At 37.6% G+C, this 24,511-nt stretch overlaps 1 protein-coding gene and 1 long non-coding RNA gene across 6 annotated transcripts in view, besides 2 other annotated features; one reads left to right on the forward strand and one right to left on the reverse strand.

Moving 5' to 3' along the window:
* The window catches only part of SLC9A9 (solute carrier family 9 member A9), a 583,247-nt gene that overhangs the window by 368,317 nt on the left and 190,419 nt on the right, over nucleotides 1–24,511 (reverse strand). For 4 of the 5 annotated variants that reach the window (XM_017006203.2, NM_173653.4, XM_017006202.3 and 1 more), the window contains one exon: nucleotides 18,717–18,822. In XM_017006203.2, coding sequence (XP_016861692.1) covers nucleotides 18,717–18,822 — 106 coding nt within the window. Of the gene's footprint in view, nucleotides 1–18,716; nucleotides 18,823–21,955; nucleotides 22,054–24,511 lie in introns of all 5 variants that reach the window. The other variant, XM_011512703.4, reaches the window with a different exon arrangement.
* On the forward strand, nucleotides 463–24,283 carry LOC102724120 (uncharacterized). The gene is made up of 3 exons (XR_001740940.2): nucleotides 463–564; nucleotides 21,158–21,252; nucleotides 24,049–24,283. It is a non-coding gene; the product is annotated as an uncharacterized LOC102724120 (long non-coding RNA).
* Nucleotides 14,423–14,924: an enhancer, noted in NCBI's record as "H3K4me1 hESC enhancer chr3:143366803-143367304 (GRCh37/hg19 assembly coordinates)". NCBI's record gives its function as "activates a minimal SCP1, AML or CMV promoter by ChIP-STARR-seq in naive H9 embryonic stem cells {active_cell/tissue: H9 hESC(naive)}" and the evidence as "EXISTENCE:reporter gene assay evidence [ECO:0000049][PMID:30033119]".
* Nucleotides 14,925–15,424: an enhancer, noted in NCBI's record as "H3K4me1 hESC enhancer chr3:143367305-143367804 (GRCh37/hg19 assembly coordinates)". NCBI's record gives its function as "activates a minimal SCP1, AML or CMV promoter by ChIP-STARR-seq in naive H9 embryonic stem cells {active_cell/tissue: H9 hESC(naive)}" and the evidence as "EXISTENCE:reporter gene assay evidence [ECO:0000049][PMID:30033119]".

The raw sequence follows: 24,511 nt of genomic DNA on the forward strand, positions 1-24,511 counted from the left end.
AGACATTTTGACTATTTACATTTTTTTGTTATTACAATGATACAGTGTATAAATATCTTTGTTGATGTAAGCAAATATTTTGTAAGGTAGATTGCTAGAAGTACCTTCACTGGGCACATTTAAATTTTGGCTGATACTGGCAAAAAGATTCTTGAAAACATTGAACATATCTATAGCTATACACACACAAGATCTATAAAATACTATCTATTTCTTTATTGTTTCTAGGATTTGAATTTTATTTAGGAAGAGTATTAATATTCTAAAATTCTAAAATATGCTTCCAATGTTTTTGTAGTTTTTCTTAACATTGAGCTCTGTAATCCTTCTAGTTTCATTTTAGGAATGACGTGAATTAGGCATTTAACTTTTCTCCCAAAGGAATAGCCCATTGCCCCACACTATCTATTAAAACACCCAAACTGTTGCCTTTATATTGGAGGAACAATCTGGCTTGGGTTTCACATTCTTTCCCTCAGAAGTGAACATGTGCTGCCTTTCCATCTTCTGAAATTGAATGTCACTGTGGTCAAGTCGAAAGCCAACCTGATTATTTCTGCTCTTGTAAGTGACTTGAATTTTCTGCCTATGTGCTCCCATAATCCTTTCTTTAAGCTTGAAATTCAGTAACTTTTTCAGATTATCTTATGCTGTCGATGATTCCAAATGAAACTTTCCTGAAATCTAGTGGGTCCTTTATGTCTATCTATTTATTACATTGTTTCGGGAGAATATTGTTTTACACCATGTTCTTATGATATTTTTCCAAGTGTTTTCTTCTTCAAAACCATCCAACTATCTGTCATTCATTTCTGTCATATTCTCTGGAGTCATTATATCTTTGTTCTTTTCTACTTTGTTTTGTGTTATTTCCCCAAATGCGTCTTCTATGTATTTAACAATATTTTCAGTGAAGTTCATTGTATTTTTGTGGCTTCTAGTGTCTTTTGTCTCTTTAGTGATTTTATTGATCTCTCCAACTTTTTCCCTGAGTATTGCCAGCACACTTTTAATCTCCCTTAATTATTTTATATCTCTTCTATAAAATTTTGAACTTTGCTCTGAACATTTTTGTTTGCTTGATACTTAGGAGCATTTGCTTGATGTTTATTGCTTCACACACACACACATATAGAGACAGAGAGATCCATATTTTCTGCAAGTCCTTCAGAATAATGGAGAACTCTTTGTCTACAATTTTTCTGAAATACTTTGATGTATTTGTTTGGGGATTGTGGGCTCTTCTTTGGCTTAAATTCCCTCCATTATTTATAAAAAATTACTTTGCAGTTTTAATGAATATATATTACTCCCTCCTTTTTGATTATAACTCATCTTTTTAAAAGCCTGACTATTATTTAAATAATTAAATAATAGTACAGGGAAAGGGGTGAAATAGGGTAGAGTAAGCTGAGGCTCACTGCTGTTTTAATTTGGGTTTTGTCCTGGTTATCTAGTGTTGCAGAGCAAACCACCCCACAACTGAGTGACTTAAAATAACAATCAGTTATTTTGTTCACATTTCTGCAAATTGGGCAGGGTGCAGTAGGTCCAGCTCATTTCTGCTCCACGTGGTATCAGCTGGGGCAGCTTGAATGGGGTTGCAGGATCCACTTCAAAGATGGATCGCCCACATGTCTGGCAAGTCTTGCTGGCTGTCGCTCCCTCTCCAGGTGGAACTCTCCACAGACTGATTTGGCTTCCTCACAGCAAGGTGGCTGGGTTCCAAGAGTAAGTTCTCTAAGCGAGAGGAGGTGGAAGCTGCTAGTTACTAAAGGCCTGGACCTGGAAACTGGGACAGCATCCCTTCTGTATTCTTTACACTGAAGGTGGGGCATAGACCCATTTCTGGATAGGAGTGTCAATGAATTTGGGGGCTATGTTTTAAAACTGCCACTGGCTGTCTCAAGCATCTGTCACCAAATCTGTTATTTCTTTGCTATTGGGAATACATCTTTTTGTAGTTTATGGCATTCAAATTGAGGTGGCACAGAGAAAAACCCCCGAAGTTGCGGATGAATTATGTTTTAATTTGAAAACTTCTCCTTTTCTTCCATACAAATAGCCTCCAGCAGAGTCCTTGGCTAGGAAACCAGAATGTGTCAGCATGATTTCTATTTGGCTGCTGTTTTGAGGGGTCAGACTATTTTCCCCATTTTCCCCTGACCCATCTACCTGATCTTAACTGTGCTCTAAACAGCAGAATATTGGATGCTCCTTTCAGTAGTATGATGTGCTATCAGGTCCGAGAGAAACAGACTTGGCTCAGCATCTTACCATCTCTTGTTTAAGATTTCACATTATTCAGCGGCAATACTTCATACTTAAATATTTCATAGTTTATAGTTTGGAGTTGTGAATACTTTCCTGTTTCAACGGCTATTTTTTTTCTATTTTTCAGTGTTTTTCTTAGTTTTAGTTTGTTTTCAGGGAGTCTAGTAGAATAAAACTATTTTATCCTGCTGTCTTAAGCAGAAGCTCCACATGATCTGTAGAATAGGCTTAAAAATATATGTTGTGGTTTTAGAAGTGAGTTTACATTGAAGATATAGTTTACTTGTGGGAGAATTGGCTTTTGAATCTTGTCATCCTGTCTCATAGCAGCTCTCCTTATTGTTTGTGGTGTCTTTTTGGTCCTTTACTAAAGTTAAAATTTTTCTTCTCAGATATCTTGTACATTTATTATTTAATGTTATTCTAATTATGTTAGATTTTTAAGATGCTATTATGAATAAAACTGTTTTCCATTACATGTTATCATTAATTGTTGCTGAAGTCCTGGAAAGCTACTGACTTTTGTCTGTCAATCATCTGTCTAGCCAGATTTCCGATTTCTCTAATATTTTGCCATTTAAGTCTCTTGTATTTTCTAAGTAGACAATCATATCCGCTCATCTATTAAGTATTTTATTTTGATTTTCCCAGTTTTAAATTTTTTAATATTTTTATAGATTTAGGGGGTACAGGGGCAGATTTATTACATGTGTATATTGCATAGCTGTGAAGCCTGGGCTTTTAGTGTATCCATCACCCAAATGGTGAACATTGTACCTAATAGGTAATTTTTCAGCCTCATTACCTTCCACCCTTCCACCTTTTGGAGTCTCTAATGTTTATTACTCCACTCTTTATGTCCACGTGTACCCATTATTTAGCTCCCATTTATAAGTGAGAATAAACAGAAGTGCAAAGCACTGGGGAATGAGATAATCTCCTGAGACTTCTACTTCCCCATCTCTGCAGGAGACAGTGAGCCTGACAACATGCAGAGTACACCACTACTAAAACCTACAAACAAGCAGCATTTGAGCAAGCCACTACACTAAGGCTATCTATAACCAAGGAATTCATACGGAGCCTTAGCCCCCACCCCAAGATCACAAATTAGCAAAGCCAAATGACCCTACCCAACATATGCAACAGTCACACTTTCAAGGGGAAAAATAAAGTCCCATTAAAATGAATGTAAATTCAAAAATAAGAAGTGACAGTTTCTCCAGATGAGAAGGAACCAACCAATTCTGTCACCATGAAAAAACAGTGTTGTAACACCCCTCAAGGATCACACTAGCTCTCTAGTGATGGATCTTATCCAAAATGAAAATTCTAAAATGACAGATAAAGAATTCAAAATATGGATCATAAGGGAGTTCAACGAGATCCAAGGGGAAGTTGAAAACCAATACAAAGAAATCTGAAAAACAATTCAAGATATGAATGAAAAATTTACTACAGAGATAGATATTTAAAGAAAGCACAAAACTCTGGAAATGAAAAATTTACAGATGGAATTACAAAATACAGTTGAAAGCTTTAACAATAGATTAGACAAAGCAGAAAAATTTCAAAGCTTGACTACATATCTTTTAAATTAACCCATTCAGACAAAAATAAAGCAAAAAGAATGTAAAAACTGAACAAAGGCTTTGATAAATATGGATTTTCCTATTTTGAATTTCTATGATTTATATTTCAAATTTCAGCTTATCCCTGTTTTGTAGATATAATAGCCATTTATATACACCTTAGTAAGTATATATGCTTTGGGCTTTAGTTTTCTATAATGTTGTTTCCCCTTAAAGTTGATCTTATTTGCTTTTATAATCTATAGCTTTAGCGTAACTGACATCTAAAATCTCAACAGGTTTTTATTTTTTAAAGGTGAGAATAGATATGTATACTAAAGTTGCCATCTTGATGAAATGAGAAAACCAACTTAAAGAGGTTGACTGACTTGCTCATTGGTATAAAACTAGTAAATAATAAAGTCAGAATCCAGACTGCCAACCCAACCTTTACTTCTCCATGGAGAAGTAAAACACATACTTTCCACATCTGAGGTTATGTTCTAAGATTAAAGTTTTTCCATGAAAACTTGTATTAGAATTACTAATGAAAAGAAAGCCAACTGCATACATGCATATATTTTTCTACTTTTCCTAACTTTTTCTTATAAGTTATGCTAATGAAAAGGCTAAAAGTGAACAGCTATAAGAACAATAAACAATATCTGAAAATTTAAATAGTCAACTGTTACATAAGTAAGAATTAACTCTGCCAAGAAGTTTTTCTGAGTTCCATAAAAAGCAAAGTAGGCGGGTGAGAATGGGAATGGGGGGTAAAAATGAAAAAGGATAAACCTCAAAACACATTAGGGTAAGAATTTAATTTAATGGCCCAAAATATAGCATGCTCACCTTAATGTCATTAGATCAAATTTGACCATTTAACTGCCATTCTGAAAATAAGCCATTTGGCACAGACTTTAGAATTTGACTTTCATATATCCAATTTGAATTAATTGCCTTTAGAAAAAACAGATGAAACTACATCATGATTCTGATATTGCAGGATAATGCCAGGAAGAGGGGAGTCTAAATTCTATGTGAGTTATTTCATCTAATAATTTAGTGGGCATTCACTCTAACTTTTGAAATGAGAAACTCTTGCTGTGAATCCATGAAGAACTTCTAAATGGTGAAAGAATTTCCTCCTTTTTCCTTCAATACTGCCTGCCATTCTGGCAACGGGAAAAGTGATATATTTGAGGACCCCTGGGGCAGGAAAATTGATAAGAGCTCCTGACTTCTTTCCCATAAACAACCAATATTTTAAAGCTATTAACAAGGGAGCTAGGCATTCAAAGACAGTTCATTTATCTTCCAATAGCTGGCAAGGGTGTCAGGCCCTGCAGTCAGGCACAGAAAAATGGGCCCTGAATTCACCCTCTATTGCTGAACAGCTGCTCTTTCCCAAGGTTTTAATCAGATTCCCTAAGCATCCCATGCCCCAGTAAGGCAGAGCCCACATAAAACTGGCAATAAGCCTGTCTTGTAAATTCATTACAAAGCTCAAGTAATATGAGCAGATTATATTCTCCAGGCCAAGAGAGAGCTTTTAATTTAGACCAAAATTATTATTGCATATTGATTTGGCCCCTTGTTCTCTGGAAAGTTTTTTCTTAGAAAAAATCCAGACTTGGTCACCTGAAATAAAAGACATTTTCTTGGTTGTTCAGAATGAGAAGTCAGGTTTAAGTGTATTAGAAAGAAAATATGTCTTTGGATGAAAAATTCTTAATTCAGAGCCCCAAAACTATTTATAGAGTTTTGTCTTTTTGTTTAGCTGCACCTACCCTCCACCCCCTGAAGTGAGAGCCATAGCTTCCTTTAACTCTTGACTTCTGACCCAAAAGCTTAGTATGCAGTATTTTAGATTATGTTATTAGAAGCGAGTGTGGCAACCTTTGGAAATCTTTCCTTGCATGAGGCAGAAGTCAAGATTGGTTCTTCTCATAGACAGCCTGATGCCTAGCTATCAACTACTATCTGTTAGTAGGCACTAGCATGGGCATTCATGCCTCTGGTTACAACAGAGGGAATGAGAGGGAATCACTATCAACCCCTGACCAGATATTAAAGGACATTAGAGACAAATGACACTGATGCATCATGACAAAAGTATACTGTATCAATTAGAAAAAGGATTGGGTAGTCATAAAAGAATCACAGAATCAAACACTGCTAGTCTTCTTCCCAGCTTTGTGTAGTACTGAGAGGGCCAAATTTTATCATCTTACTAAAAGTGAGCAGTTTTTAATTATCCTGAATGTTGGTATGGATTTAGGAGGTCATTACCAAGCACTTCAAAATTTCAAAGACCCATTGGATAAACAACAGCTTTTGTGTGAAGGATGAGGATAAACATTTGACAACCTTCATCTGTCCCTGTGTTTACCATACAACCCTCTGATATTATTTGCTTTCATATGCAGGCCTGCCTATGGGAAAGGCTGCTTTTATCATATGGTGTTTGGGGTGCTTGAAATCCCGATGACAGTAATTTTCTGTGGTGAATTAATAAAGTGGATGCTGATTATAATTCATCTTCTTAAGTACCTTGACAATAGAAAGAAAATGAAATGACCATACCAGCATGGATATTCTGGTCCCTGGGTCAGTAATTCCTTTCTTTTTTTTTCTTTTTTTTTTTTTTTTTTTTGAGATGGAGTCTCACTCTGTCACCCAGGCTGGAGTGCAGTGGCGCAATCTTGGCTCACTGCAAGCTCCACCTCCCGGGTTCAAGCCATTCTCCTGCCTCAGCCTCCCAGTTAGCTGGGACTACAGGCACCGGCCACCACGCCCGGCTAATTTTTTGTATTTTTAGTAGAGACGCAGTTTCACTGTGTTAGCCAGGACAGTCTCAATTTCCTGACCTTGTGATCCACCCGCCTTGGCTTCCCAAAGTGCTGGGATTACAGGCGTGAGCCACCGTGCGCAACCTTGTAATTTCTTAGTTTATTATGTTAGCACCTTGGTTCCACTTCTGCCTCATGTGTACTGTATTTAGTGCAAGTCATTCTCTTAGAACATGGCTGGCTATATTGGGCCCAGACTAGAAACCATCACTGGGCACTCTAAACTAGAGAGATAACATTTCAAACAAGGGGATAAAATGAATGAGGAGCTACTATGACTGAGTGATGATATATAGCAGAAGACAGAACTACCTCCTCCAACTTTCTCTCAAAACTGGTTTTAGGCCGGGCATGGTGGCTCACAACTGTAATCCCAGCACTTTGGGAGGCCAAGGCGGGACAATTGCTTGAGCCTAGGAATTCCAGACCAGCCTAAGCAACATGGTGAAACCCAGTCTTTACAAAAAATACAAAAATTAGCCTGGTGTGGTCTGTGGTCCCAGCTACTCAGGAGGCTGAGGTGGGAGGATCCCTTGAACCTGGGAGGTGTAGGTTGCAGTGAGCCGAGATCGTGCCACTGCATTACAGCCTGGGCAACAGAGTGAGACCTTGTCTCAAAAACAAAACAAAACAAAATAAAACTGATTTGTTGCCTAGAAAAATCATCTCAAAGTCATCTGTGCACATAAAGAAAGATTTTTAGAGCATCTCCATTACACAGCATAACAACAGCTGACATGGCAGAAAATGTCCCTTGTGTACCACCCACAGAGATAACTTCTCCCCAGAAACTGGAGAGAACTGAACAGGTGGATTCCTAGGTGGGTTGTAAATCTGACAATATGAGAACACGAGGATGTCAGAACAGAGTAAGAGAAACTAGGAAGACAAAGTGAAAGATGAAGGAGAGCTTCCAGAGAGAACATGACATGTCCACAATTGGAAACACCAAAGCCACAAAGAAGAGAGCCTAAAATTCTGGAGAGAAAAATGGAGGGGCCCCATGGAAGATACTTTACCAGTTTCCTAATAAATAGGTATTTTTTGCACAGTCTGAAATTGTTAAGGGCTACCTACAGTGTCATAGCAGATATAAATTGATTTCAGCATTTCCTTACCAAATTAAAAAGAATTATCTGTTGTCACAGTCTTTTTTTTTTTTTTTTTTTTTTTTGAGACAGAGTCTTGCTCTGTTGCCTAGGCAACAGAGTGCAGTGGCGCAATCTTGACTCACTGCAAGCTCTGCCTCCCGGGTTCATGCCATTATCCTGCTTCAGCCTCCCAAGTAGCTGGGACTACAGGTGCCTGCCACCATGCCCAGCTAATTTTTTGTATTTTTAGTAGAGACAGGGTTTCACCATGTTAGCCAGGATGGTCTCGATCTCCTGACCTCGTGATCCGCCAGCCTTGGCCTCCCAAAGTGCTGGGATTACAGGCGTGAGCCACTGTGCCCGGCCTGTTGTCGCAGTCTTTTGCATCATTTTGAGAAGCATTCTGGTGAAGGTAGCTATTGGAGTGAAAATTGCATTGCTCTAATAAACAGGTCTTTTGCTGTGTCTCCACTTTTCCCCCACTTTCTCTATACACATTATTTCTCCCTCTATGACCTTTCAGTGTCCCGTCTTTGAATATTGTAGTGGATTATGAGTAATTGTTTCTAACTTATTTTGCCCGCCACTCCCATTAACTATCATCACTATTATTGTCATAGTCATGCCTTATTAGATTTATGAATGTTTCTACCAATTTCTCTGCTCAATTCTCCTTGTTTCTCCCTTATTCTGAGTTTAGTTTCCTATTTCTACTCAATAATATTCTTCAGAAGTTCTATCATTGATGAGTGATGAAGTACCTGAAAATGTATTTAATCTTATTCTTAAATGACATTTTAGTTGAATTTAGAACCTGGGCTGTCAATGAATTTCCTGCAATACTTTGAACCTATTATTCCTCTATCCTCTAGCAGCTAAGCAGCTATTGTTGCCAATGAGAAAACTATTGCCATCCAAATTGTAAGTAAGTGTAAGTAATCCTTATTGGAAATAAACCATCTCTCCTCTCTGGTTGCTTTTAAAATTTCTTCTTTCTCTTTGATGATCTCACATTTCACAACAATAATCAATCAAATATTTTCTTTGTCTTGCTTCCTCAAATATCTTATAAAGCTGTTCCCCTCCTCTAGGTGGAGGCTTAACACTTGAGGCCTGGAGCTGCCTGATTCACAAATCTCTGTTGCTCAAATAGACTCTTTAAAATTAAAAACACAACAAAATAAACCTAAAACCTGCAATGTATTTGAATGTGAATTAGTGTTAATTTATCCAGCTCTAGACATAATGTGATGCTTCAATTTATCTCTTTAATTTTGGAAAATTATCAACCATTATCCCTTCAAAATATTGCCACAATTCAATTCTCTTTAGTTTCTCCTTTTGAAATTTTTATTGATGAATTCTGGATTTTTAAAAAGTGCTATCCTCCATATCTCTTAACTAGCCTTTCATATTTTTTATCTGTACTACATGCTGGGCCATTTGCCAACTTTATATTCTGTTTCATCGCTGGGTTTAATATGACATTTATGTCATTCCCTTTAGTTTTTAATGTCAATATTTGCACTTTTCATTTTGAAAAGTTCTTTTTTTCCTATTATACCATTCTTTTCTAATTTTTCCCCACTCCACTGTTTACCTCTTTAGTCTCTTTAGTGTGCTCATTTGATAATCTTTCTCATATTTTTGTAATTTTTGTTTAGTTCCTTAGGGTGCTTGTCCTTCTGATTTACTTTTGTTTTGCTTATCTCCTTTCTTTCCTTCCTTTGCTCAACATGGTGGAGTTATTCTTCTTGCGGCCTGTACATTTTTTATTGTGAGCTCATTTTCAGAAAAGATTCTGTTTTTTAAGTGGGATTTCTATGTACCTGGGATGTGAAAGTATCACCTCAGGGCAGTTTCAGTGTATTTGGAAATAGGAAGAGGGGATACGGCTGTGACAGTTGTTTCAATAGTCCTGAAAACTCTCCATGTTAATTTATTGGCTTACATTTCCTGTATCACAACTGCCCAGGCTAGGGATTTTGATTTCTCAAATTCCAGATAGATGGCAAGTTTCGTTGCTATTTCTTAAGGCTGCTCTACACAGTCTATGTGACTGAAGGAACACTTTGAAATTGCAGGCCCTATTCAAAGAGCTTTGCTCAAGTTGTATTACCATGAGTGAACCTTTAGACAGGGTTCTGATTTCCACATGGAAATGGGATTCCAGCTCCAAAACCTCTGGGCAGTATATGCCATATAAAATCACATGGCCACTGACAGTGGCAGCTTCCCACTCTTGCTGTGATTTTTCTCTTGTTTCTCACACTTGGAGAATTTCCTTTTCTCTCCTTCAAAATCAACTCTACATTTAGTAATGTTCGCTTTTTAAAATAAAGCCTTTCTTTGAGTTTTTAGTGCATAGGACCTATCATTTTAATCCACCATGTTCTGAACATTCTAGGATCATGAAATATGGTTGTTATTATTCTTACTTGTCCTCCAACCACTTTCTTCCAATAATGGATTCCATGTCACTGGTCACAGGGATGGGAATGTGACTCAGATCTGACCAGTGACCTTGTTTAATTCCCTTCGAGTATTATGTGATTGGCTTATGGGTGATCTTCTGATACAAGCAGAGGCAAACAGAGTCTTTGTGACTGATATGCAAATATTGGGAGAATGAAATGTTATTTTGAGCTAAAAAAAAAAAAAAGTAAGCCTGGAGATGCCATTAGTCACCTTCTCCTGCTTTCTAGAGTAAGCTATCTATCTGCACCATGAAAGAATGAGGCTAGCACTCAGAGACAATCGGGGCCAAGAGAGAAAAAGAACAGATAGACAGCCATGTTTGAAGTCTTAAGCCTGGCATGTCCAGAGTCAGCTCAATCCCTGTTAAACAGGCCAGTGGACAAATTTTGCTGAAGCTAATTTGAATTGGGTTTCTATCACTTTCATCACTTGCATCTGACTTATATACCAATAAATTAAAGTACATTGGAACTGAGATAAGAAACCATCCACATGGATTTCTTTTATTTATTTTTGGTAGGCCAATTTGTCACGCATGACTTGACACGAGCAAAGCAAGTTCTAAGTTACGGGGTAGAGTTCTGGAGACGCTGCCAGTGAATGTCAGATCTCATCCGTGAGACAAAAGACAGAGTCACAGAATATAATCAAGGTCAAGTCCCAGTAATCTGAACAGGGACATTAAGAGGTAGGGTAGGGGAGATGCCAGAGTCAGGAACCAGGGAACAGGAATGAGAGAAAAACAAACAAGACAGCAGCAGCAGGCAGGGGTGTGGGCAGCACACCGAGCACACAACTTAAAGCTGGAATTCAGCTGAGCACTGCTTCCCAGCCTCTGTTTAAAGATCCCAGGGTGGCCTTGCCATTCCTGCCATGTGATGCCACCTGGTGTCTGAAAAATGAAGTCAGCATGAAATTGACTCCCAAGACAAGGAGTCCTTAAGCAAAAACAGCCATAACTTTTTTTTTTTTTAATTATGTATCACCCCAGTATCTAGACAGGCATCAAAATAAATGAGTTTCATGCTGATTATCAGTTTTCAAGGCAAATATCAAAGTGAATTACCTTCAGAAAGATGTGTCAAGATATAAGAAACTTGTTCTTAAGTTAAGCAGATTCATGAGAAATATACCTCTGGTTGTGATAACAGTTTCAGTTAATTCTGATCAAAAGGGGACAGCTTCTTATCACCTCTGTGTTTACAACTATGGGTCAAATTGGAGGAGCACTAATGAGGGTTTCTAACAAGGCTTTTCAAATAGTTGGAAGAAGCAGAATGAACATGAAATATCTATCTCTGGAAGAGGTTTTAATGATTAGTATTATAAAACGTCTCCCCATCTGCTTCTGAAGGGGTCTATGAACTCATTCATTCAGTAGTTATTGGAGAACCTACCAAATAATTGCCTATGTGTTGTGAGGGATGGAGAAAATTTGCCTTTAAGGAACTCGAAATCTACTTCAAGATGACGTTACCAAGAGAAAAAATGGAATTATTTTAGGAATATATTTTTATAACCAAACCCTATACATGTAAGCTATTTTCTGAAATGGTTTCTAGGGTGAGGTTTTGTTACGCATATTAAATCCCTTTATAGATATTGTTTGCCTACTTCAGTGAGGAGTTATTGAGGGCCGAGATGAGTGGCTATGCCCATCCAGTCTTTGTCACCAACACTTGGCATAATGTCTGGCACATACTGATCCTCAGTACATTTCTCTTGAACGGTTGGATGATAGTTCAAGGTTCCCCTCAGTTCCACGGTTGCTTGAGTCTTATAGCCATCCAATTACCTTCCATATTAAATTTCCCTCAAGATACATGGGCGGTAAGAAATGTAGTCTTTCAAAATGCCACTCAAAGTGCCAAGCGTTCACTGGTATCACACTTTAAATGACATTATCTAGCAAGAACTTCTCTGCAGCATAACAGTCTCATTTAAAAAGACAAAATTGGTGCTCCATTTCTTCATCTTTTTAAATAATTGATGACATCGAATTTCCTTATAAGCATTTACTTAACAGGGAATAAAGACATCTAGTATGTATTTATTGTCATCCAAGAGTCAGCTGTTTAATGAGATACTTATTTTATCTCTAAGAAAACCTGGAGGCATTTGCACACTGTGGAATTATTTTATGAGTAGGTTTCAGTACAACAATAGCAGTATTTCTGTTTTGCAGATAAATGGCCCAAAACAGCCAACATCTTCTTTCTCTTCTATCATGGGTAGCAAAAGAATTTCAGACTTCTACCTCTGTGCAATCTGCACTTAAATGAACATTGCCAATTATTAAGTATGTTAATGGGGATTTTTGGGACCAGAGTCTATCATAAGTAGTTTGCTCTATTTTGGTAAATATATGCAAGCCAAAAGAAAAAAATAAAAATCACTTGTGATTCCACATAACACTTCTGACTCCATGTAATTTATATATAAATAATACAAATGTTATATGTTATTTATATATACAGGTATAATAAAATATATAAAATTTAATAATATATAATTATATTCATATATAATACATATAATGTATGTTAGTATATATAATATATAATTTTAGGTGCATTTGCACATATAAATTTGGCTGTGAATTTTTAACCAAGCTAGATCTTATTATATATTAAATTTTCTTATTTGATAGTTATTAAATATAAATATTATATATTAAATTTCCTGTTTACTTAAAAATGTATTGTGAATATCTTTTCCCATCAATATATTTTTTCTTTATTATTTTTTAAATGACTTCATAGGGTTCCATGATATTAATATGCTATAATTCACTCAACCAACTAGTAACCATTGTGCACAACTTCTTGCTCAAATCAATGCATTCATCTCCATGGAGAGACTATTGCACATGCCCATAATTACTTCTTAGAATAAATTTCTAGAAACAAAATTGCTGGATCAAATGATTCACAAAATCTAATGGCTCAGTAAACACTGCCTTTGTAAAAGTTTTATCACTTTCCTTTTTCACCAATCATATAGGAGGGTTCTCAATTCCCAAACCCTGACTTACTCCAAGTATGATTATTCTTTTTTGAGTCCTGAAGATTTAAATATTTGCCAGGTAAAAATAATACTCCATTGTTGGTTTAATTTGTTTTACTTCATTATTAGTAAAGCTGATCTTATTTAGTATAGCTGTTGTCCATTTATGTTTCTTCTTTTGTTTATTAACTATTTATATCATTTGTCCATTTTTCTATTATGCTTACCTTTTATTATTGGTCTTTGATGATAGGAGTAACAGCAACAGCTAACATTTAATGTGTATTGAGCATGACCCACCAGGCCCTGATTTAGGTGTTTTATGTTTAATCCCATCCTGTGAGGTAAGTGCTATTACTGTCTATTTTACAAATGAGTCTGCCAAGGCGCAGGGGGATTGAGTAACTTGCCCAAGGTAACGTAAATAATGAATTAGGTATAGTGATGAGATTAACAATTTATCATGTATATTACAAAGACTATTAACTGATCAACACATGTGTTGAAAATGCTTCCCTTGGTTTATCATTCGTCATTTAATTTTTTTGTAGTGGGTTTTTGCCTGCTAGGATTGCTTGACTCTATTGCCATCAAACAAATGGGCTTTTATTTTATAGTTTCTGCTTTTGATATCTTGATCACCTGAAGAAGAATACATAAGTAAATATAATTCAAACACATTAAAAACATTCAGACTGCATAGAAGAGTATAAAATAAAGAGTTAAATTATTTTTCATCCTTTGCCTATATCGTGATCCTACACAGCAAAGGTATCTGATTTTAACCATTTATGTCTTTATTTTTTCTGATTGTTATTCTATGACTCCTAAGAATACGCATATATTTTCATTTCTTGACTTAGCAACTCCACATAGCATCTGTTCGTTTCCTAGTATGCCAGATGCAGAATTTTAGTTAGCTTCTTCCTTCCTTTTTTTCTTCTTTTTTCTGCTTAACTTCCACAAGTAATATCAGTTTTGGTTGTGAGCACCTTTATAACTTTAAGTAACATATTAATACTTCAACCTCTATTTTTTGATTTATCAACTTTAGACAGTATGTCTTAACTAAGTGATTCATTCCTAATAGAGGAAATCACGTGTAAAAATGGTTATTCTCTAAGTTTCCTGGATCATAAAATGCCATATTTATGAAGAAATGTTCACTAGAAGCAGACTTATCTTTAGTAATTTTAATAAAACCAGAGAGATCTCTGTAAGTAGAATGAAAGATATTGATATAAATAAGGGTAGAAATTATATTTATATTTATATAGCATAGGCTCTGTAGATTACAGGGCCTTTACAACCATATTACTTTATTTATTACTCAGAATAGTTTTGTAATGTATATAGAACAACTATTCTCACATTTTCTAGATCAAGAAATTAGCATAGGGAGTTTATGGCCATACAAAATCACTGTAGTGGTCATCTAGGTCAGCAGTCCCCAGACTTTTCGGCACCAGGGAACTGTTTCGTGGAAGGCGATTTTTCCACGGATTGGGGGAGGGGATGGCTTCGGGATGAAAGGCATTCCTCAGGCATTAGACGCTCATAGGGAGTGCGCAACCTAGATCCCTCACATGCGCAGTTCACAATAGGGTTTGCGCTGCTAGGAGAATCTAATGCCGCCGCTGATCTCACAGAGGCGGAGCTCAGGCAGTACTGCTCACTGGCCCATTGCTCACCTCCTGCTGTGTGGCCCAGTTCCTAACAGGCCACAGACCAGTGCCGGTCCACAGCCTGGGGGTTGAGGACCCCGATCTAGGTTTTGTTTTGTTGTGTTTCTATCCAGCATCCACTTTTCCATTATCATGGCAGTATTACCTGAGCAATAATTCTACCTTTCTCCAGTCTCAGCTCATGTGCTTCCAATGAAGCTGATTATATACCCTTGAACTCACGGAGCAGGTGACTTAGACCCGAACCAATACATGCTGTACCTTTTACTGACCATAGTGATTATTCCAAGATAAACTGCATCAGAATCTATGAAAGTTACTAAAATTTAGTCTGGGAATGGTGGAACAAAAATTCTTCGTCAAATCTCCCGAAGAGACAGCCCTGGGAAATGCTGGCAGCCATCTTGCAACCAGAAGAGGGCGCTAACCATGAAGTTGAGCGAAGAAAGATTCCTGTTCATTTCACTGGATCCTTGACTAAGCCATTTCTATTACCGGTGTTCAGTTACATCAGCTAATACAGATTCTCTTTTTGTTGACCTCAGTTTAGGTTGGTTTCCTGTCAACTGTAGTAATTGCACAGTTAATTAATGGCAATCTTGACACCAGATCTTCTGACTCTTAACCTAGACTTCTTTCTACTCTACCATGCTGCCTCTGAAATTAAGATTTTTGTTCAGGGTTCAAAAACACACACTCCTTGAGATCTCTTCCATATATCTTTTGCCTTCCTTCAATAGCCTATTAAATAACATTTAGAAATGCAAATCTATCATGTGGAATTCATTTGTGAGGCAGTATGCATACATGTTTGAGCATGACATTCCCTTTATGCTTGAAATAAGAGTATGGGTTAGGGACAAGCTAACTTCAAAACTTTTATGTTAAATAAAGTTATTTGCATTTTAGCACAAACAATTCTGGAACATTGTAAATCACAAGAGCGTGATATAGCACCCACCACCTGCTGCTACGTACAAGAGTTGTGGCCATCAAATTTAATTATGTTAGGTATCTGAAATTCAGAGCACATTTAACCTAAGCAACAGTATTATAATTAATAATAGGCTTCTTATATTAGCAAAGAAAAGCTGCTTTAATCTAAAATGTGGCTAAATACTAGAGCACAGTATTTCTACAATACTATTAAAAGTGTAAAAATACTAAAACTGAAAAAGTTGGTTCTTAAGCAAGGAGGTTTGCTGGCAGAAGATGGGAAGGTAAATAAAAGTATGTGGCTATTTCAGAGGGGCTCTGGGGGCTTGGCCAAGGGCTATAGTCATTAATAATTGGGTTGCACATCAAAATGGAAAACTTTTTTTTCCATAACACAAGAATAACTCTATCACTGTTCTTAAACTTCAAAACCACGCAAAGATGGAACTAAGAGAGGGACAACACAAAAGAGATTTTCATTTGTTCTTCTAAGACACACTTCAAGTACATAGAGTCTGCTTTCAAAAAGTTGCTATCTAGAAAGGCAAATATATATGTAAATCCAATGCTGTGCAGGGGTGAAGCAGAAGCTCAGCCCATGGGCTGGTGGTTCCCAAAGAAGGAGACTGAAGGAAGAGTTGAAAGACTTGATTAGGCAGAAACAGAAGCTGAAGAGGGCAACCCAGGAGGAGTGAGCTTTGTTCAAAGGCATCGAGATACCACTCAGAGAGTTGTGTCAGGGTGCTATACATGGTTTAGTGTGAAGAGAAAGAAAAATGGAGATGCAATGTTTGAACTTTTAGACTGAAAGCCATAGAAAACCTTTAAATGATATGCAAATATGGCTTTCCTAAGGGAACCAGGAAATGGTTGGCAGAGAGTGTGTGGAGATAAGGCATTGCAAGGAGAGGAAATACGTGTGTGTAAATAGATGTACAAAGAGAATAGTATGTGTGCTATAAATTAAGTTTAAGAAGCAAATAAGCAAGTGAGAATAAGTGAAGAGAATGGCACATGGAAATGTGCAAAAAGGAGGAAATGGTGAGCAGCAGACAGCACTGGTAGACAGCCTGGACCAGGACATGGCAGAGCTATGGACCACTCAGCAGAGCTCATGGAAGGAAAGAGCTGGTATTTGAATATGTAAGCTTTGGAAGTCAAATGTTTTTACTTACGATTACCCTTTATTTTACATTGGAGCTCACTGGGATCACTGTACGATACCAGAATTGCCGAAGCTGAGGAGCACAAGATTTCAGCTAGAATGGCAACATCTCATTCCTAGAAAGGAAGAGCTCTTGCCATGGTGTGAAACACATCTTCTTTTATTAAGACATTATGAAGACATGGGTAGAGAGGTAGGAGAGGCATCTGCAATACCAACCATATATTGACATGAGGAGATACTACATGGACTATTTCAAATGCTCCCAGGTTGGTGCTCAACAGCATCAACATTTATTCTTAGAGTCTGCATTTTTAATGGAAAACTACTGTGAATGGTGGTCCTGAAAGCAGAAAGGCCAAACCTTTCCTGGTTGTGTCGGCATGATTCTTTCCCAAGCTCATTTGCACTTTAGTGGTTTTGCTTTGCTTGGCCTTTTCCAACTTGGCAGCTCAGGAAGTAAAAATGAGGAACTCAGCAGATTTTTAAAGAGTTTTACTCCAAATGTTCTTTTAATGCTAGTATTTCTTGGACAGGGATTCCTGATGTCCTAATTAATTGTTCTTGGTGTTTCTTTAAAAGCATCCTTTAGCATTTGTGAATCTGCCCATGGCTTTTGCTCTTAATTTGCACTCACTGATATTTTCCTTTAAAGCAGGAAAGACACTTCTCTGTGGCCAGGTGAAATATAAGTATATTTGGAGACACACTTGAAAATTGTTGAATTCACTGTCAACTTTGGGGCAGCAGCCTTAAGAAATGTCAACTGGCAAAAAGAAAGAAAAAAAAGAGTAGTGCTGCTCTGTCATTTCTTACTCCCCTCTGTGAGATCTGACTTTAACAATCTTTTGTTACTTCACAATACATTTTAAACTGCATTTGAAGTAATTAACACCCAGAATAGAATCTTTTTGTCACATTGAATTATCAGATATTGACTTTCCTTTGGGATATCTGACAGTTGCCCAAAATGTTGGTCTTAATCTAAAACCAAGAAGAGACCTCTGACATAGTGAAAGCCACTGAAGTGGCATTTATTAAATATAAATGGTAAGTGTCTAAAGGGGAGGTAAGGAAAGAGCACTGGCTCTCATCCCCCCACCCTAATATCCTTCCAGCGCAAAGGGAAATTGCACTGGTGCTGAGCTGAAGCTCCATCAGTTTCATCCGTCATGTGATGTTTTAAAGATGTATGCATTCCTATACAGCATTACCTTTGCATTGAGAAATAAAGAGTATTCTGACCCTTAGGTTCTGGCTCCAATCTGCCAATCTGCCCATAAATACAAGGGTTTCTATTAGACTATTATCTGGAAAGTGACTTATATAAGGCGAAAAATTAAATGATATTGATTTGAAATGAAAAAAGCTCATTTATGTGCATTTTAGGAACCTAAGTGAATCAGCTAAATATATGCACTGAGAAAAATAAGTTACCCTCTAGGTAGTATCTTGTAATAAGCTGGAAACATAAAACCCATTAATAGTATTAGAAATTAGATGCCTAATGAATTGTGCCCATTATGGAAATTTTCTGTGATAACAATTCCTTGAAAAAAGCTAGAGACTGCCCGTATCTCTGTGACATAAGAGAAAAGATACAAGTGAAAGCATATTTCACATGATTAAAGAAACATAGGCCAAGTTCTGGTACTTACTATGTAAGGACTATGGCCACTGCATCATTCAACACACTCTCTCCAAACAAGAGTGTGTACAGGTCAGGGTCGACGTGCAGTTCATGGAAAATGGCCAGCACTGTCACTAGGAAGACACACACAAACATGCAGGTTAGCTTGGATGCAGGCATGGAGTTTTCCTTGGCTATGGTCACCACTCAAAAACATTAATGAAATGCTCATCTTCTCAAATCCAATGACTATACTAACACCAGACCTTTATTCAAAAAATATCTGATGCTTAAGAGGCTTCTCTTGGCTCCCTACTGCTTAAAGATAAAATTTGAGCTCCAAAGTACAAGTACCCTACAATCTGCACCTTGCTTACCTTCTAGCCTCATCTCCCTCTGCCCCCTTTGCTGCCTTTCTCAAGTCACACTGAACTTGCCATAATTTCCCAAACACACTGTGTAGTTTCTTAACTACCTTTGCATTTTGATTCCTTCTACTATGGCAGCAATTCCTTCCTCGTCCACTTGCTACCATCCTTGTATTCCTTAAATACACACACACACACACACACACACACACACACACTTCTTGCTACCAAGGACTCATTTTTTTCATTCTTTAAGAACCTTTCAACTGTCCCCCTCCCAACCCTTCAACTGCCTCAGCAGAGGCCTGGCTCACTCCTTTCTGGATCCCAGCATTTGGATCAAATCACTGAACTTACCACAGAAAGGACTGGGAGCTCCCTGGAAATGGGGTTCATCTTTGGACACATGGTGTTAGACCATACTCAGTAACTGCTTGATGCATGAATGACTAAATGAATGAGTGAATGAATAAATGAATAAATGTTGTTGCAATGGCCTACTCCTGTGAAGGGAGACACGGTTCCACCTGAGTCTCATTCTGTCCTGAGATCACACTCACCCGTGAAGATGGACTCAATGATCTTAAGAACAGGACATGAGGATTTGTTTCTGGTTGCCTGCTGCATGGCCTGCTACTATATGCCATGTTCTTGTATTGAGCCTCTGTGAGTACATTAGGGCAGTCAATACTCACACACTGATTATCTGTGTTCATCAAAACTATTCAATATCTTGATATTTAAAACAGTTAAGCAGAGTGTGAACAGCAATCATTAGGAAAATGATCCATTGAATTAATTGCCAAGGGGGAAAGAGGGAGGTTGAAAATGATATTGATGGCAAATGTCTAAGGCAGAATGGGTATTTTTAATTCTGTTTTTCCTTTCCTATTTCATGGGTGGTGAGGTTAGTAACTGTGTTGTACAAAACAGTGCTACGAGGAAATAAAAGCAAGACAGACAAGTTGAATGTGAAGGTTTTATAAGTAGGATTAAGAAGTTTGGAGCTTGTTCTTTCATAATAGAGAGTCATGAAGGGTTTTAATAAGAGAGATGACACAATCTGAACTTTGGAAATAAAGCTCAGGCAGAAGAGCAGAGGGCAGAATGGACACATGGCTGGAGGCTTTCCCAATAATTTCAGGAAGAGATGAGTTGTACCAGGACAGGAAGAGGCCCGGATTCATGCTCCCAAACTCTTACATGTTCACTGTCCTGGGTTCTAATAGACCAATGACCACTGTGCTTTGTACTTCACAAATATACCTCACTGGTTTTCATCTTCTCTGTGTGCCACAAGCCCTTAGCACAGTGATGCGACATAGTAAGCCTTTAATGAGTGAACGAATAAGAGAGAACATCAAGGAAGATATAGCAGAGGTGACAGCACCCCAGAGATATTTGAGATGGAAAATTGGTGGGTGTTGGTGCTTGAGAGGCAGCAAGGAATGACTCTGGATTTTGATCTATTGTACAACATGTGACTATATTTAGTAGCAATGTATTGTACACTTGAAAATTGCTGAGAGAGCAGATTTTAAGTGTTCTAAGCACAATGACAAAAGCATGCGAGGTAATACATATATTAATAAGCCTGATTTAGCTATTCTGCAAGATATGCATATTTCAAAAAATTATGCTGTGTACATAATATATACAGTTCTTGTCAATTAAAAAGTGTTTTTAAAGAAGTTACTGCAAAATCCAAAAAAAGAAAGAAAATGCCATATGAATTGACATGACAATTGGCCAGATCCCATTTTATCAGGCATAGAATCAATTTTATTATTCTAGCTGAATAGGTCCTATTAATCATGATAGGTAAAATGGCAGAGATCTGCTTTTTACTAGCATGCAGCTGTTAACATTTGCCACAACTTTTAGACGTTGCAGTTGGTGGGAGGGAACAAGCAAACACTTCTGCTAAGTAATCTCTTTCTCCTTTTTGGATAGAGTTAAGACACTGCATCTACCCAAAACAAAAAAGTTACAATGGGGTTTGGTTAGCAACATTTTCCTTTGGCTAGGATCTTGTGGAATAAAAGTAACATTTTTTTTTAACTAGAACATTCTATCATGGCCTCTCTATTGTTAACTTTAGACTCTGTAGCTGTTCATTTGTATCATCAAGCTCTGAAGATGACTTGCAGCCCATCTCCACTTCCATGGAGGTTTCCTAGGCCCAGGAAAAGGAAGGTAAGGCCCTTACCCCACCTCCCCACTTATGGAGCCCCTCTGCCCTATGGGGAAGACTCTACACCTGTCTAACGAAAGCTTTGAGCTTTTAAGAGGAAAGGCTTTTAATTGAATATCCAGTTTTGTTCATAACTGCTCTGACATTCCCACAATTCCTTTTGAACAAAGAACTGAACTCTGTTTCATAAACGATGTCCCACACAAAAGAGAAAACTGTTACTTTGCACATTCTTGTCTACCCTGTGAAGAAATGGAATAGTTTTGAAATAAAGCTAGACAGTGTGTCCTACAAGAGGGAGTATTTTGCTGGGAACACAAATGAGTCAAATAGGTGAGTCAGGAAATTAGCCACCCACTCTGCTGCTGAGCTTGGAGCTTTTAAAAAACTCATTTAATTAGCTCCCTGGCAGGGCTCAATCTTACACGCAATGTCCAAGACTCTCTGCAGCACCTCCGCAGGAGAGAATCTTTGGGACAGCTGTGGACATGCACATACCAGCTCTGCCCACACCTTGCAAGGCTGGTAAAGATAACCTAGGTCCAAGGCAGGACTAAAAGTCAATGCCCATGTAAATGAGAGTTCTTGGGACCACAAGAGGAAAACACTCTGGACATCGTGTGGATAGGAAGGGGAAAAGATGCAATCCGATTTCTTAAACCTTTGATTTTATCAGACAATTTGGTCATTTTGTCTTTAACTTACTTTAGTTCCACTCATCTTTTAGTGGCAGATTTTCATGCTTCACTTGTGGCTTGGAGTTCCTTCTCCTCTACATACCCTCTTCTTACATGATGTTGTAGCTAGAGAAAAATTCACTTTGTCTTTCAAATTGATAATAAAAGATACAAGCACATATGATCTTATGCTCAAGGAGATGAACATGCACATGTACACACACACACACACACACACACACACACAAACACACCCCTACCTCTAGGTAAGCATAATAGAGGAATGTGATAACTGAGAAATGCCACTGAATCCTTGCAGATCTCTGAGAAAATAATTTCAGCCATCAAATGGTAAGGGTCTTTGAGCGGAATGAGTGAGGAGCCAGTGGTGTGGACTGCACTCTGAGAAGCTTTTGATAAAGGATGAAGAGAGAAAAAGCCATAACTTATGAGGTCTAAGTGAGGCTTTCTCTTAGACATCTAATTTATAGGTTGACAAGAATAAGCCAGAGGAAAGAGAGGCTGAAGACAGAGAGAAAGGATGAGAAAACTGCTGGAGCAAGGTCTGGAGAAGGCAGAAGAAAACTGAAGGGCAGAAGGGGAATGTGTCTTTTCAGGAAAGTAAGATCATCTGCTGAGAGTCAGGAGAGAAACACATGAGTTAGAGGCTACAGGAAGGTTGAAAATGTGCAGAATATCTTGGAGGCAGGTAATGCAAGTTTCATGAAAAACTGTTAGGGTCAAACATAGGATAATTCTCAGTCTGTAAGAGAAAAACTGTAACACTAAAATGATATAATATTTTGATTTTTTCATCATACCAAGGGTCTTTTCCCCTACAACTCTATTATAGCATCAAAACTAATCCTTTTTCATCTCAAAGATGATAACCACACCTAGTGATAAAAATACAGATCATGACTACATGACTCCATGAGTATCTCAATGTGTTTACTCTTAGATGTTTGACAATTTTTTTTAAACTGCTGTCTTTTCAGCTGACCACTTTCTTGATGCCCTTTCAGAACTTCCAAGTCTTTAGGGTGATTTAGTGACAGCCCCTTCCCTAGAATCTCCATTAGCAGCTCTATGACCCCTATTTTCTAAGTGTTTTACAAGGAATTTAAATTTCAAATGATATTTTAATGTGGCAGCTCTCAGCAACCTAGCACAAGATCTGCCTAGGTCGAAGGACAACAACATACAATAGTTCCTACCCCTGTCCTCCTACGTTGTCATTCAGCCTTGTCAAAATGCTGGCTCTCCCTTGGAGAGTGCTCTCTATGGTTTTCTGTGCAAATCACTATGTATGACACTTGTCCATGACACACAGAGAATCAAAAACATCTGAAGATTTTGCAGCTGAATCGGTGTCAGGCCTGACAGGTGTAGAACCTTGGTATTCTCATAAACGAGGTAGCATTTTTCCATTTCCAAAAAATGATTATTGTGAAAATGTATTTTCTTTTTCTAAGAAGGAGGATGGAGGAGGAAATTCTCCTGTAACTTTTCCCACTTTCCTGAAAAATTGTATACGGTGAGATCTGAAGGAGAGGCTTTCAAAAAAGTTGTGGTATCTGGGTGCAGGCTGAAATATGGGAATTATTTTGAGAATTATTAAATTCTCAGTGAAGACTTAGCAGCAAAATTGATGCATGGATTGATTTTGCCAGTCAAGCTCTGCCAGTCATAATCCTAGAATACAAGTGAAAAGACTAACCCTTCTGAGTTACATGAGAGAAACAATGCCAGATCTACAAAGCTAATGACTAGTCATTCAATTTGTTTAGGTCATTCTAAATTTTAAGTTACACAAAACATCATGAGGAATTTAGCCCTAAAACTTTGCAATTTTATTTTAACCATCAATATGCTATATCATTTTGGTACTGAGGTAATAGTGGAGAATATATGATATGCATGCACACACTTGTAGCCTTCCTCAAACAGGGTTCCTTGGGGAAAACAAGCTCTTATGCCCCAGAGCAATGTCTTCAAAGTGTGGCCCAGGGACCCCTGGAGGTTCCTGGGAACTATCCAGGAAGATCCTCAAGGTCAAAACTATTTTCACAATAACATGAAATATGTTACTTGCATTTTTTATTCTAATTCTTTCATTAGTGTACAGTGGAATTTTCCAGAGGCTACATGATGCAACAGATTGAATGCAGAAGCAAGATATGAGAATCCAGCTGTCTTCATTTGCACTACATGTTAAAGAGCTTTGCAGAAATGTGAAACAATGCCACTTTTCTAATTTTTTTGTTTTGGAAAATAAACTTTTGGTAAAAATATGTTATTTATATTAACATGTAAATGTTTTATGATTGTTATTTTAAATAAATTAATAAAAACATGTTTTAGAATTTGTTTTAATTTCTAATATGGTAAATTTTTTTATTTATTCATTTTATTTTTTGAGACTGAGTCTCGCTCTGTTGCCCAGGCTGGAGTGCAGTGGCGCAATCTCAGCTCACTGCAACCTCTGCCTCCCGGGCTCAAGTGATTCTCCTGCCTAAGCCTCCTGAATAGCTGGGACTACAGGTGCCTGCCACCATGCCTGGATAATTTTTGAATTTTTAGT

Source organism: Homo sapiens, chromosome 3 (assembly GCF_000001405.40).
Source record: "Homo sapiens chromosome 3, GRCh38.p14 Primary Assembly".
Lineage (NCBI taxonomy): Eukaryota > Metazoa > Chordata > Mammalia > Primates > Hominidae > Homo > Homo sapiens.